The sequence below is a fragment of the Homo sapiens genome, chromosome 20 (assembly GCF_000001405.40).
Source record: "Homo sapiens chromosome 20, GRCh38.p14 Primary Assembly".
Lineage (NCBI taxonomy): Eukaryota > Metazoa > Chordata > Mammalia > Primates > Hominidae > Homo > Homo sapiens.
Genome location: NC_000020.11, coordinates 43,431,977 through 43,447,030, shown reverse-complemented (window position 1 = coordinate 43,447,030; position 15,054 = coordinate 43,431,977). Strand labels below are relative to the sequence as shown.

The following is a 15,054-nucleotide window of genomic DNA, read 5'->3' as shown; positions in this document are numbered from 1 at the left end:
GAGATAGAGGTAGCAGGGAGCTGAGACTGCACCATTGTACTCCAGCCTGGGCACAAGAGTGAAACTCTGTCTCAAAAAAAAAAAAAAAAGTTGATGAGGAAAATCCTAGTTGGCCACATGTCAGGTGAAGAGCATGAGGCCATGGGGAAGATCAGAGACAGTTACAGCCCACAGCATACTTCAGTTAGCAGCATTGTCTTCAAGCCTGTCAGAATCCTGCAGGAAGCAGCACTGAGGTCCCCTCTCAGATCTTTCCTGAAGCTGGTGCATGCAGGTTTCCGGCCTGGCCAGGCTGTGGCTTGCAGACCTTTTACTCATCATTAGTTCCACATGCTGTCATCTGGACAGATATAATGGAAGCATGTTCCTGATTGCCTCGGGGGTGCATGTGCTTTTCACTGCAGCCCTTATTCTGGTAGCAAAAGCTGCCTCACATGGTGGCCCTCTAATGTCACAGGCAGGAAAAGCTGAGCGGGTCTGCCACATGGCAGAGGTACAGAATGTACCTCCTTGGAGAGTGAGGGGAAATGAGTTGTTTTCAGGCACCCCAACTAGCCCGGGCACAGTGCTCATCTCAGGGGACATAACCAGATGAGACAGGCCCAGGTGGGCCATCCAAAAATCGCAGTCCCAAGGCAGTGGTCTCAGGCATTGGCGAGCACCACTGAAACACGGATATGTGGGTCCCATCATCAGCATCAGGCTCCCTGGGTGCATGCAGGGCCTGGGGCCCTGCGTGTTAAAATCCTCCTGCAGAGCCGAGAGGCAGATGCTCAGGGGACCACACTAGGAAAGGTGGAACTGAAGGGACAGCAAGCAGATAAGTGGCTGCCCCAGCTGGCGACTGGAGGAGGGAATTGACTGTCGAGAGGCAGGAAGGAGTGAGGGAAATGTTCCAGATCATGATTATTGCGATGTCTACACAAACGTATATATTTGTCAAAACTCATTGAACTGTCTACTTAAAATAGGTGCACTTTACCATATGTAAATTATGTATCAATAAAGATGATAAAAAACAAAGCTGGCCAGGCGCAGTGGCTCACGCCTGTAATTCCAGCACTTTGGGAAGCCGAGGTGGGTGCATCACCTGAGGTCAGGAGTTTGAGACCAGCTTGGCCAACACAGTGAAACCCCGTCTCTACTAAAAAATACAAAAATTAGCCAGGCATGGTGGCAGGCACCTGTAGTCCCAGCTACTCGGGAGACTGAGGCACGAGAATCGCTTGAACCCGGGAGGTAGAGGTTGCAGCCAGCCACGATCGTGCCACTGCATTCCAGCCTGGGTGACAAGAGCAAAACTCCCTCTCAAAAAAAAAAAAAAAAAAAGCTAAGAAGGTCATCCCATGTTTTTGTCCTCAGAGAGCCTTGGTTAAGCCTCTTTCATCCCACCCTAAGGCCCGGTGCAGTGGCTCATGCCTGTAATCCCAGCACTTTGGGAGGCTGAGGTGGGCGGATCACTTGAGGGTCAGGAGTTTGAGACCAGCCTGGCTAAACATGGTAAAACCCCGTCTCTGCTAAGAATACAAAAGGGCATGGTGGTGCGTGCCTGTAATTCCAACTACTCCAGAGGCTGAGGCAGGAGAATCGCTTGAACCCGGGAGGTGGAGGCTGCAGTGAGCCAAGATCACACCACGGCACTCCAGCCTGGGCAACAGAGGGAGACTCCATTCCCCACCCCCCACCTAAAAAATTCACCCCACCCTAGGCAGATGCCAGAACTTCCTTCACATCTGAACAAAACCGAAAACTGGGACCTCCAGGCCTGTAGGGGACGCTGTCTCCCGCAGTGCCACAGTGTCTCTCAACGGATCATTGAGAGAACCCACTTTGTGCCACAGGCACCCTATGGGGAAGAGGGTTGGGAGTACAGCCGTGTGTCCCTTAAAGACGGGGATATGTTCTGAGAAAAGTTGTATTAGGTGATTTCAACCCTGTGTGAACATCATAGAGTCCACTATACATCCCTAGATGGGATAGCCTCCCACACACTAGGGCTGGTGCAGCCTGCCACCCCTAGGCTACAAACTGCAGCATGCAACTGACCCCATAACATAGACGATGGTAACACAGTGGGAAGTGTCTGTGTATGGATGACGCCAGACTGGCAAGCCCCAGAATTGGGGCTTAGCTTGGGAGAGTTCTTGTCTTTGTCCAGGAAAGAATTCAAGGGTGAGCCGGTGATGTTAGCAACTTTTATTGAAGCAGCGTACGTCAGCCACAGAGGTACTGCCACAGGCAGTGTGACAGAATAGCAGCTCAGGGCCAGGGGCAGTTCTGCACTCATATTGATATTCACTTTTTTTTTTTTTTTTTGAGATCGAGTCTTGCTGTGTCACCCAGGCTGGAGTGCATTGGCGCGATCTCGACTCGTTGCAACTTCTGCCTCCAGGGTTCAAGCGATTCTCCCACCTCAGCTTCTGTAGTAGCTGGGATTACAGGCGCCTGCTACCATACCCGGCTGATTTTTGTATTTTTAGTAGAGACGGGGTTTCACCATATTGGCCAGACTGGTCTCAAACTCCTGATCTCAGGTGATCCTCCTGCCTCAGCCTTTCGAAGTGCTGGGATTACAGGCATGAGCCACTGCAGCCGGTCAAGATCCACTTTTAATTACATGCAAATTAAGGGGTGGATTATGAAGAAATTTCTAGAAAAATAGCAGTAACTTCTGCGTAGACGGGTCATTGCCATGGGAAGGGGTGAGAACGTCCGGGTGTTGCCATGGCAACAGTAAACTGACAGGGCACTGGTGGGTGTGTCTTACAGAGCATCCTTTTACCTCTTTCCTGTTTCAGCTAGTCTTCAATCTGGTCTGGTGTGCAAGCTCCACCTCGAGTCCAGTCCTGCCTCCAACCTCATCTAAACATAGAAAAGTATGTTGAAAATACGGTTATAATCTTATGGGACGATCTTTGTGTGAGTGGCTCCTCCTTGACCCACTGCGTTGTGTGGCTCATTGTAATGACTGTAGCTGGAGTTATACTGCCTGAGTCTAGTTCCCTCATCTGCTAGCTTTATGACCCTGGACAAACTTCATAACTTTCTCGTGCCTCAGTTCCTTGACTGTAAAATGAAGAAAGCAATAGTGCCTATCTCAAAGAGTTGTGCAAAAATTTTAAAAATTTATTTCATTGTAAAACACTTGGAACAGCAGCTAGCATACAGTAGGCATGAAGTGAGCGTTCGCGATTATTATTTAATAAATGCAACTTTCATCCATGCTGTTTTTCCCTCCTAATTTTGCCATGGAGATCATTTTTATGGAGAGCTCTTAGTTCTCCATCTTTTATGACAGGCTGATTCTGGTCCCATTACAGCCATCTTCTTGGATAGAGGATGGCTACATGGGAGGTGGGAGCTGGACCTGGAGCAGAAAGAGCTGGAAGGTTGGAGTGTAGCCTCGGTTTGGGACAGTTTCACTCTGTGATGAAGACCAGGACGCTTTCTTTTTATTTTATTTAGTTATTTGAGATGGGGTTTTGCTCTGTCGCCCAGGCTGGAGTTAAGTGGCATGATCATGGCTCACTACAGCCTCCATCTCCTGGGCTCAAGCGATCCTCCCACCTCAGCCTCCCGAGTAGCTGGGACCATAGGCATGAGCCACGACATCTGGCTAAGTTTTTGATTTTTTTTTTTTTTTTTGAGATGGAGTCTGGCTCTGTTGCCCAGGCTAGAGTGCAGTGGCACGATCTCGGCTCACTACAAGCTCGCCTCCCGGGTTCATGCCATTCTCCTGCCTCAGCCTCCCAAGTAGCTGGGACTACAGGTGCCCGCCACCATGCCTGGCTAACTTTTTGTATTTTTAGTAGAGACGGGGTTTCACCGTGTTAGCCAGGATGGTCTCGATCTCCTGACCTCATGATCCACCCACCTCGGCCTCCCAAGGTGCTGGGATTACAGGCATGAGCCACCGTGCCTGGCTGATTTTTTTTGTAGAGACAGGGTTTTGCCATGTTGCCCAGGCTGCTCTCGAACTCCTGGACTCAAGTAATCCGCCTGCCTTGGCCTCCCAAAGTGCTGGGATTATATACGTGAGCCACCATGCCTGATGCAGGACCTTTTCTTGAGCCCTCTGGCCCTTGCTAATGCCTAGCAGGCTGGGGTTCTGCTTGCTTTACCTCTGTGAGCCCCTCAGCCGACACCTCAGAAAAATGGGGATGAAGCTGGCTCCCGGGGCAGTGTCAGGATCAGGTGAGAGGGCATGAAGAACTCTTGGTGCTTGTCTCTGAATTTTTCCAGAAGCAGCCTCTGAGACAAGATTCTCAGTATTATTTTACAAGTAGTTGATTTGGGAGGTGATCCCAGCAAGCACCAGTAGGAGAAGATGTGAGACAGGGAATGGGAGGAAGTCAGCCAATGTGTTTGTGGGATGAGGACAGCCCAGAGCAACTGGAGCTTCATGCCTCTGTGAACTCTGGGAGACGGGGCAGAACACACCTCGGACAGAGGGGAGAGGATGGCCTCCCAGCCAAGCAGGGAGAAAGCTGGGTGTTCATACGTTAACTGCCCAGCTGCCCTTGGTTGAAGCTTGCTTCCAGGAGTGTTCACTCTGGCATTTCCTGCTTGCTTGATTGGCTGAATCTTCTTCCACAGCCAGAAATTAAGAAGCCCCAGGGCTGGGAGGTAGGAGTTGCGAGCAAGCCTTTGGCTTGTGAAGGTGAGTGCTGGGAGGACAACAGTGCAAATTGTGTATGCTAAAGGCAGTCAGCTCCTGATAAGAACTAGTTAATGTAGTCAGGAGCAGTGGCTCATGGCTGTAATCCCAGCACTTTGGGAGGCCAAGGTGGGCGGATCACCTGAGGTCAGGAGTTTGAGACCAGCCTGACCAACATAGCGAAACCCCATCTCTACTAAAAATACAAAAATTAGCTGGGTGTGGTGGCACATGCCTGTAATTCTAGCTACTTGGGAGGCTGAAGTAGGAGAATCGCTTGAACCTGGGAGGTGGCGTTTGCAGTGAGCCGAGATTGCACCACTGCACTCCAGCCTGGGAGACAGAGTGAGACTCCATCTCAAAAAAAAAAAAAAAAAAAAAAAAAGAACTAGGTAATATAGTTGGGCGTGGTGGCTCAGGGCTGCTAATCCCAGCACTTTGGGAGGCCAAGGCGGGAGAATTGCTTGAGCCCAGGAGTTTGAGACCAGCTTGCGCTATACAGCACAACCTCATCTCTACCAAAAACAAACAAACGAACAAACAAAAAAAAAATAGCTGGGCATGGTGGCGGGCACCTGTAGTCCCAGCTATGTGGGAGTATCGCTTGATCCCAGGAGTTCAAGCCTGCAGTGAGCTAGGATCGTGGTATTGCACTCCGGCCTGGGCAAGAGAGCAAGAACCTGTCTCTTAAAAAAAAAAAAAAAAGTGTAGATTTAAGCATCTTACCTGTCTCACAGGAGTAGAGAAAAAGACCAAGTTTAAGGAGCTTCTCATAAACGGGCCACTTTTGCCATGTGGTGCACTCCAGCCAACTTTCAGCTCCTCCTTCAGATGTGAACCTGCCCTCCCACAAAGACTGAGTAACAGAAGATCATGACACCAGCCTCAGATTTTGGATGAACTCATGAATGCCTGTTCACCACAGTGAAAGGTCTTCTGGTGCCTGTAGGAGAAGGGCACCCGTGCAGGACTGGGGACCTGACCAGGTTCAGGTCTCTCTAAGACAACATGGCAGATGTAGGTGTTTGCGGAGTGGGGACTATGGGGATAGTCCAGTGGCCCACTGCTAATGGAGGTTGTGAGCTCTTTCTTTCTTTTTTTTTTTTTTTTGAGACAGACTCTCGCTTTCTCACCCAGGCTGGAGTGCAGTGGTGTCATCTTGGCTCACTGCAACCTCTGCCTCCCGGGTTCAAGCGATTCTCCTGCCTCAGCCTCCCAAGTAGCTGGAACTACAGGCGCTTGCCCACCAAACCCGGCTAATTTTTTGTATTTTTAGTACAGATGGGATTTCACCGTATTAGCCAGGATGGTCTTGATCTCCTAAAATCATGATCTGCCCACCTTGGCCTCCCAAGGTGCTGGGATTACAGGCGTGAGCTACTGCGCTGGCCGGTTGTGAGCTCTTTCAAGAGTGAATGCTAATGTTTCAAAACATTGGCCATCAACATTTTTTATGTGGCTTGGAGCCGTGGTGGGCTTTGGAATTATCCAACTTTGTACCTTTCCAGCAATGGGACAAGCCATCTCCTGCCTCTGAGCCTCATTTCTCATCTGTAGCATGGACATCGTAGTAGGACACCTTCCAGAGTCGAGTTGAGAAGTAAGTGTGGTGGTGCATCGTCAGTGCCTGGCACGGTGTGGACCAGGAGTTGGCAAACTTTTCCTGTAAAGGGCCAGGCAGCCAATATTTCAGCTTTGTGGGCCACATGGTCTCTGCTACACCTACTCAAATTTGTAGCATTAAAGCTGCTATAGGCAATATATACATCTTATAAAAATAGATGCTGAGTGGGCGTGGTGGCTCACGCCTGTGACCCCAGCACTTTGGGAGGCTGAGGGGGGCAGATCACATGAGGTCAGGAGTTCGAGACTAGCCTGGCCAAAATGGTGAAACTCCGTCTCTACTAAAAATACAAAAATTAGCCAGGCGTGGTGGCAGGCATCTGTAGTCCCAGCTACCCAGGAGGCTGAGGCAGGAGAATCACTTGAACTGGGAGGGGGAGGTTGCAGTGAGCCAAGATCATGCCACTGCAGCCTGAGCAACAGATCGAGACTGTCTAAAACAAAAAACAAAAAACAACAAGCAAATGCTGACCCTCTGTATAGGGAATGGGCAGAAATGGGAAGAACTGGGGAGATTTTATCTCTTCCTCCTGAAGGGAACAAATGGTTCTTACCTATCTTTGTGTCCTCCTTCAGGCCAGCATGGGGCGTGGGACATGTAGGTGCTCAAGAAACGTTTACTGAAGGGAGAAAAACAACCTATAGCATGAAGAAGAGAATGGTGTTTGGAGTCAGACAGACCTGTGTCCAAATCAGTTTATTCTCTATGTGGCCTGGGCTAAGCCCCTCTTTTTCTCTGAGCCTCTTCATCTATAAAATGGGTGTTAAGAGTAACATCTACTGCATAAGTTGTTGTGTGGGTATTAATGGGCAAAAAGTGTGCATGATGAAAAATATTTTTAAAAAAGAAAGCATGAATAAAGGCTATGCCTTCCATGATTTTTAACTCATGGCTCTCAACCCTTAGTTCCTCTGGCTTGAGGGGCATTTATGTCTCCTCCAATCTGTACAACCAGCCTTCTCTGGCCCCTCTTGGACTCTGGGAGGAAGTGAGGGAGGGCATCTCATCTCTGCAAGAGGGAGGAGTGGTTGTCTGTAATAAAGGGTGGGGGAGAGTCAGGCTTCCTGTTCTGAATTCAGGACCAGGCAGGCAGTAACTGCAGACAATCAGTTTTTGCCTCAAGGGCTCAGTGTTGGCTGTAAAGAATTAATGGCCAAGAAAGGTGTCTACCAATTATTTTTCCACTCAAGGTGCAGAGATTACAGAAACACAGCCAAGCCCATTTCAGATCCAGTCCTCCTAGCGCTGGCTGGCAATTACCACCCTACAGACCTCCGTCCCAGGGGAATGCTGGGAGTCAGGGGTCTCTCCTTAGAGGGTATGCTCAGACTTCCAAGTGTGTGCAGAACATTCTATGTTTCCACAGAGAAGAGGGGGAAAAAGGAAGGACGCATAGGTCTCTTGGTTCAGTTGTCCTAAAAGCAGGCCCTGAGACAAGGATTCAAGTGCATGCAGTGGTTTTGGGAAGTCACCCTGGGAAACGCCATTAACAGGGGAGAGAATTGAGATGGGGAAGGGACAGAGCATATGGGTATATTATCCAATCAGTTACACTTTGGACAACTGGAGCTTCATCTCACCTGGACTCTGGGAAATGGTGCAACATATATATCTCAAAATGGTCCCATCTGAGGGGCGAGGGAGCTGGGGTATTTATACACCAACTCCTGTGGATCAGTAGTTGAAGTGTTACTCGTGGAGGGTGTTCAGGTTCTTGGCGTCTTGAACAAAGAATTGGACAAAATGCACAAAGCAAGGAAAGAATGAAGCAACAAAAGCAGAAATTTAAAATGAAAGTACACTCTACAGTGTGGGAGCAGGCCCTGGATACAGAATCTTCTCTGGTCCAAATATCCGCTAGAGGTTTCCCATTGGCCACTTGGTGTTCACCTCATGTAAATGAAGTGGTGGCCCATAATCAGAGGCTGAAGTGAAATCACAAAGTTACACTCCTATGCAAACGTCTTGGTACTTTCATTTCCCATCTGCCCCGCAGAAAAGGTGGGTGTTTGCAAAGGGTGTAGACTCTGGTCCTTTTTTTACTTAGGTATGGAAAGTTATGGTTTTTCTTTCAATTTAGTTCTAGGGAGTCAGCCTGAAAGGGCCTTAGGTTCCCTGCCTCCAGACCCCATTCTCCTGCCTCAGAAGGCTGCTGGGTGGGGGTGTGGGGGTGTGTGTGTGGGGGGATGGGGATGGGGGGGCTGTTAATTACCCAGCACTTCCAGTATCTCTCATTTGGTGGCCAAGAGAGTCCTGAGGCAGGAAATGCAGGTGATGGCAGCTGTTGTGCCCTGAAATGGTTAGACCTAGGGAACAAGCCAGGTACCCACAGAATCCACTACAATACAGGTTAAAGGTCCTCTCTGGTCCAGGCACTTCACACCTGAGGTTATTTATTTATTTATTTATTTTGAGAACTGAGTCTTGCTCTGTTGCCCAGGGGCAGGCTGGAGTGCAGTGACGCAATCTCGGCTCACTGCAACCTCCGTCTCCCAGGTTCAAGCAATTCTCCTGCTTCAGCCTCCCAAGTAGCTGGGATTACAGGCACCTGCTACCATGCCCAGCTAATTTTTGTATTTTTGGTAGTGACGGGGTTTTGCCAAGTTGGCCAGGCTGGTCTCGAACTCCTACCCTCAGGTAATCTGCCCGCCTCGGCCTCCCAAAGTGCTGGGATTACAGGCATGAACCACCATGCTCAGCCCTGAGATCTATTTTAATCCCCATGTATATCCAAGACTGAACCTTAGTTAACCTCCTTTCCCCAGGCTTCTTCCTCTGGGCTGGAAATGGGGAGGTGAGTGAAGCTCTCATCCTAGGTGCAAAATGTGGGTGGCACCAGAAAACACAGCCATCAAATAATATTTTGATGCAGTATTAAAAAGGAATAAATGAATGCAAAAAAAACCCATGGTGAGCAAAAGATTAAACATTTTAATCAAGACAGGATCAGAAATAGTGCTGTGCTGAGCCATATTGAAGCCTGAGGCAAAAGGAAAAATCAGTAACCCTGATCTTGTTCTTCATGGATTTTTTTTTGCATTCATTTTGATTTTTTTTAAAAAAATTACCACATTAAAACATTATTTATATTTTTTAATGATTTTTTTTGGAGGCGCAGCCTTATATTTGGTGTCTGAAGTGAGTACCTCACTTGCTCACTCTAGTCCTGACCCTGCTCCCTCCCCCATCTTTCCCATCTTACTGCACAGTGCTCAGTCCACTTAGCTGCTCAAGTCAAAAATCTAGGGTTCCCTTGCCCCCCACCCTTTCCCTCCCCTCTCCCTGCTATACCATTTCTGGACTTTCAGTTCCACCTCTAAGCATCTCTCAAATTTGTCTTTTTTTTTTTTTTTTTTTTTATTCTCCATTGCTACAACCCCTCTGTAAGGACCTCATTCATGGCCTCCTTTGGGCAGACAGGAAGAGCTTCTTGGATTCTCCCTGCAAGCTGTGGTGTGTCCACTCACATCAGTGGCTCCAGCAGACATGATAGTGGCTCTTTGTCTGGCCCTCTGATTTCCACCTCTAAGTTATCCCACATCTGCGTGAGTTCTTGTTCCAATATGAAATCTGATTCCCACAGTGCTTGTAGAGGCTCTGTTTTTGTGACTGCCCCTGATGGATCCTCCAAGGCTACGACCATCTCTCTGCTATCTTGGCTGCTCCTTGGTCACCCAGAGGCACAGTCTCAGAGCTTCAATGAAGAAAAACCCTTTCTGATTTCTCCTTTTCCTCTCACCTTCTGGGATTTCTATTTTCGTTTTTTCGAGACTGAATCTTGCTCTGTTGCTTAGGCTGGAGTGCAGTGGCATGATCTCGGCTCACTGCAGTCTCCACCTCCCTGGTTAAAGCGACCCTCCTGCCTCAGCCTCCTGAGTAGCTGGGACTAAAGGTGTGCACCGCCATGCCTGGCTAATTTTTATATTTTTTGTAGAGATGGGGTTTCACATGTTGGGCAGGCTGGTCTTGAACTCCCAACCTCAAGTGATCCTCCCGCCTCGGCCTCTCAAAGTGCTGGGATTACAGGTGTGAGCCACTGAGCCCAGCCCTGGATTCCTATTTTCTTTCCATCCCATACTGGGGCAAGGGCTGAGGGAGGTCGGGGCACTGAATCCCTGAGCGTTCCAGGCAACGTCTTTCTCTTGGTTGCATTTTCTCTGAATCTCCCTGCCTTCTTGGTTCCACTTCTGGGCTTGGAAGAGATCACCTTCTTCTGAGCTCTTTTACTGAATGCCATCTAATGACTGCTTATAATATATACCAGAGCTCAGACCTCCCAGATTTGCCTTTGCATGGAAAGGGAAGTTTTTGAAATTAAGAACCTCTCCGTATTCCCCACCAGGCTAGGTTTTAAGACTATGGCCTCTGTACAGACTCAAAGCTAAAGGATGGCCTCTTTATTTCAGGTGGGGTCGGCATTCCTCTTGATTTAATGGGGCTGGGGGTGGTGGAAAGAAGAGATTCAGAGCATCATGACTCACAGGGATGAAAAGTAGATGGATCTATTTGATAGTTTCAAAAATATTACCCCCTTTACACAGTCAAATGGTTCCCCAAGTTCTCAATACCTTTGCTCTTCTCCTGGGCATTCATTATTTCTGGAGAGTTCTGGCAAATTCTGTTTAGCATTTCCTCCCCTCATCGGGGCTATATTTTCTCTCCTTTCAGAGGCCATCTTTGTCTTGGGCACACCAGTGGCTCCTCGGCTCACTTCTTTAATTCTGAATAGATAAAGAAGTTCCTTGAATCACTGACGGTGAAATCCAGACATTGGGTGGGCACTTCACCAAGGAAAAGGGAGACCTGGATTCCAATCCTGGACTTGACTGGATCTAATACAGTTTCCGAGTGGAGAATAGGGAAAAGGGTACCCCCGAAGTGTATTGTTGGAAGGATGAAATGAGATAATGCATGTATAGTGAAGCTTCACGTAGCAGCTGGCACAGTGAATTTACTCAGGGTCTGTTTCCTCCCCTCTTTCTCCACCTTCTGCCATTCTCTGCTTTCTGAGATGAGTCTCACTGTTCTGGAATTCTGGGCTTCCCTGAGCAGAGCTTAGTTTGTTCACCCACTCTGCAAAGTTAATCCAGCTCTAGGGCACCAGTCCATTGGACTGTTGTTGAACAGTGCAGTGGTTAAGTGGGCAGCTGCTAATCAAATGACTAATTATTAGTGTGACATTCTCAGCACAGAGCCAGGCATGTTGGTCCTCCAGTCCCATGTGCTGAGGATTTCTCCAATGCCATCTGATCTTCATCATTGTTGTACACATACATACACACACTCACATCTTGGATCCTGGCATTTGGGAATCTTGGGTCAGTAGAGGTGACGGGTTAAGGGAGGTGAGTGTGGGAGCACGGGAGAGACTAGAAGTCCCTCTAGGTACCTACAAGTACCCCTCCCCACCACCCACTGATATGGTTTGGCTGTGTCCCTACCCAAATCTCACCTTGAATTGTAATAATCCCCACATGTCAAGGGCAGGGCCAGGTGGAGATGATTGAATCATGGGGGTGGTTTCCCCCATACTGTTCTCTTGATAGTGAATAAGTCTCATGAGATCTGATAGTTTTATAAATGGGAGTTCCCCTGCGCAAGCTCTATTGCCTGCCACCATGTGAGACCTGACTTTATTCTTCATTGGCCTTCTGCCATGATTGTGAGGCCTCCCCAGCCATGTGGAACTGTGAGTCAATTAAACTTCTTTCATTTATAAGTTACCCAGTCTCAGATATGTCTTCATTTTTTTTTTATTTTTAGCAGAAACGGGGTTTCACCATATTGGCCAGGCTGGTCTCGAACTCCTGACCTCAAGTGATCTGCCCACCTCGGCCTCCCAAAGTGCTGGGATGACAGGCGTGAGCCACCGCTCCTGGCCAGGTATGTCTTTATTAGCAGCGTGAGAACAGACTAATACACCCTCCTTAGACACTCACCTGCCCAGCCCTTATAGCCTGGGGCTTCCTTTTTGTCACACCTATTTTGAGTCCTGAGCGCAGGCAGATGAGTGGAACATAGTGCTATAAAGCTCAGTGTGGCATGGTCTCTGCTGACCTCTTTACCTTGGTCCTGAATTGCCCCTTCCCTCTGTCCTTGTGCTCCAGTCACAATAATCTCTCTCTCTCTCTCTTTTTATTTTATTTTTTTTGAGATGGGGTCTTACTCTGTTGCCCAGGCTGGAGAGCAGTGGCTCGATCCTAGCTCACTGCAGCCTTGAACTCAAGCTCAAGCAATCCTCTCTCCTCAGCCTCCTGAGTAGCTGGGACTACAGGCACATACCACCATGCACGGCTAATTTTTACCTTTTTTGTAGAGGTGGGAGGTCTCACTCTGTTGCCCAGGCTGGTCTCAAACCCCTGGCCTCAAGCAATCCTCCCACACTGGGCTCCCAGAGTGCTGAGATTACACGCATGAGCCAGTGAACCAGGCCACAATAACCTCCTTTTGGTGACTAGAAAACAGCAAACTTATTCTGCTCAGAGCCTCATCACCTGCCCTGCTGGTCCCACTGTGTCGATGCCTGTTCTCTTCTCTTCCCATGGCTGGCTTTGCATCCTTCAGATCTTAGCTCACATATCCCTTCTTCAGGGAAGTCTTCCTGACTATCCTCTCTAAAGAGGACCCTACGGAGATTATTTACTATAGCACTTCACGCACTTCCTTCCTTCACAGCATCTATCACAACTGTACTTTTTCTAACCCACTTCTTCATTTGCTTTTCTACTCCCCCACCAGCTTGTACACTCCATGAGGGCAAGAGCTATTTTGCTTCTGTTCACTACTCCACCACCACCTAGAAGAGTGCAGGCACAGAGTATGTTCTTAATAAGTATTTATGCAATGAGTGATCTCCATGTTCCTTTTCATTTTATTGTCCTAAATGAATTTTGCAGACAGCCCAATGGGCCATCAGATTGACTCACTTTGAGAATAATTTCTGGGGCCAAATCCCCTCACTTATTTATTTATTTATTTATTTAGAGACAGAGTGTCACTGTCATCCCCTTCTCACTCTTTAGAAGCAGCTGGGGTTGGATCTTTCAACATGTGATGCCTGAGCCTCCTTGAGACCAATCCTGGACTCACATTGCCATGGCCAGCCCAGCAGGCACCTACCTTCCTTCCTTCCTTCCTCCCTCCCTTCTTTCTTTCTCGCTCTTTCTTTCTTTTTCTTTCTCCTTCCTTCCTTCTTCCCTTCCCCTCCTTTCTTTCCTCCCTTCCTTCCTTCTTTCTTTCTTTTTCCTTCTTCTCTCTCTATCCTTCCTTCCTTCGTTCGTTCCTTCCTTCCTCCTTATTCCCTTCCCCTCCTTTTTTCCTTTCCTTTTTTCTTTCTCTCTTTCTTTCTTTCCTTCCTTCCTTTCTTTTTTCTTTCTTTCTTTTTGTTTTTCTCTCTTTTCTCCTTCCTTCCTTCCTTCCCTCCTTCCTTCCTTCCTTCCCTCCTTCCTGTCTTTCTTTCTTCTTCTTCTTCTTTTTTTTTTTTTTGAGACAGAGTCTCGCTCTGTTGCCCAGGCTGGAGTGCAATGGCATGATCTTGGCTCACTGCAACCTCTGCCTTTCAGGTTCAAGTGATTCTCCTGCCTCAGCCTCCCAAGTAGCTGGGATTACAGGCTCATGCCACCATATTTGGCTAATTTTTGTATTTTTAGTGGAGATGAAGTTTTGCCACGTTGGCCAGGCTGGTCTTGAACTCCTGACCTAAGTGATCTGCCCGCCTCAGCTTCCCAGAGTGCTGGGATTACAGGCGTGAACCACTGTGCCCAGCCTGCTTCCTTTGTAATAAGCAACTCTTCCTACATCTGGTAAGGGAGAGTCAGGGAGTAAGAACTAGTCTTCACTCATAACTGACTCTATGAAAACTGTGTGAACTTGGACAACTTAATCTCAATGGGTGGCAATTTTCCAATTTTTAAAAAGGGAATAACAGTAATAAAGAATTTCTCAACCCCAGTTCTACTGACATTTTGGGCTGGATAATTCTTTCTCAGGTAGTGTGTGTGTCCTGTACATTGAAGGATGTTTGGCAGCATCTACCCACTAGATGCCAGTAGCAAACCCAGTTAGGACAATCAAGAATGTCTCCAGACATTGCCAGACATCGCCAGGGGGCAAAACCACAACTTTTCCTTTCCTCTTTCCCCCATTTTAAACCACTCCAATAATACCTGCCTTATTGGATTATTGGTAGTTTAAATGAGATAGGTCATGTTAAGTGCTTATTATTATGCTTTGAACAGAAGAAGGATTTAATCAATATTTAAAATCTATTACCATTATTACCAATGTCATTACATTGAAGGCTGCAGGACTTGCAGGGAATTCTGGCAGATCCAGAAAAATTCACTCTAGTGCCCATGGTGTGCTGAAGCTGTCTTGTCTGTGCTTCCAAACATTGATTGCTAAATTTTCAGGAAATTTGCAAACCAGTTGTTAAACATAGCCATCCTTGAAATGGGCAATTGTAGGAGTATTTACACCATGGGAATTGGCAAATGCTACATAGCAGGGCTTTATTTTCTGGGAGCTACCTGGCTACCATAGTGTTTCTTTATTAATGCACTAAATGACAAGATCTTGTGGTGAGTCAGTTAACTACTGATATTTTGAAATATTGATGACCATAAATGATATTTTGAGATATCAACAACTGTAATATGATATGAAAATCAGTGATTTCCACTGGAGGCAAAGTTAATGATATTGGTTTGTTGCCCCCTTTCAGATTTGAAGGAAATGTTAAATTTGAGTTAGAAATAGGAAAAAATAAAGATAT

At 47.6% G+C, this 15,054-nt stretch overlaps 3 annotated features.

Annotated features, from left to right (window-relative positions):
- Nucleotides 1,716-1,918: a silencer, noted in NCBI's record as "fragment chr20:42073753-42073955 (GRCh37/hg19 assembly coordinates)". NCBI's record gives its function as "represses an EF-1alpha promoter that drives an FKBP-Casp9 reporter gene in an ReSE screen in phorbol 12-myristate 13-acetate-treated (for megakaryocytic differentiation) K562 erythroleukemia cells {active_cell/tissue: K562(+PMA)}" and the evidence as "EXISTENCE:reporter gene assay evidence [ECO:0000049][PMID:32094911]".
- Nucleotides 2,649-2,840: a silencer, noted in NCBI's record as "fragment chr20:42072831-42073022 (GRCh37/hg19 assembly coordinates)". NCBI's record gives its function as "represses an EF-1alpha promoter that drives an FKBP-Casp9 reporter gene in an ReSE screen in phorbol 12-myristate 13-acetate-treated (for megakaryocytic differentiation) K562 erythroleukemia cells {active_cell/tissue: K562(+PMA)}" and the evidence as "EXISTENCE:reporter gene assay evidence [ECO:0000049][PMID:32094911]".
- Nucleotides 7,929-8,078: an enhancer, noted in NCBI's record as "active region_17900". NCBI's record gives its function as "activates an Ori minimal core promoter by ATAC-STARR-seq in GM12878 lymphoblastoid cells {active_cell/tissue: GM12878}" and the evidence as "EXISTENCE:reporter gene assay evidence [ECO:0000049][PMID:35858748]".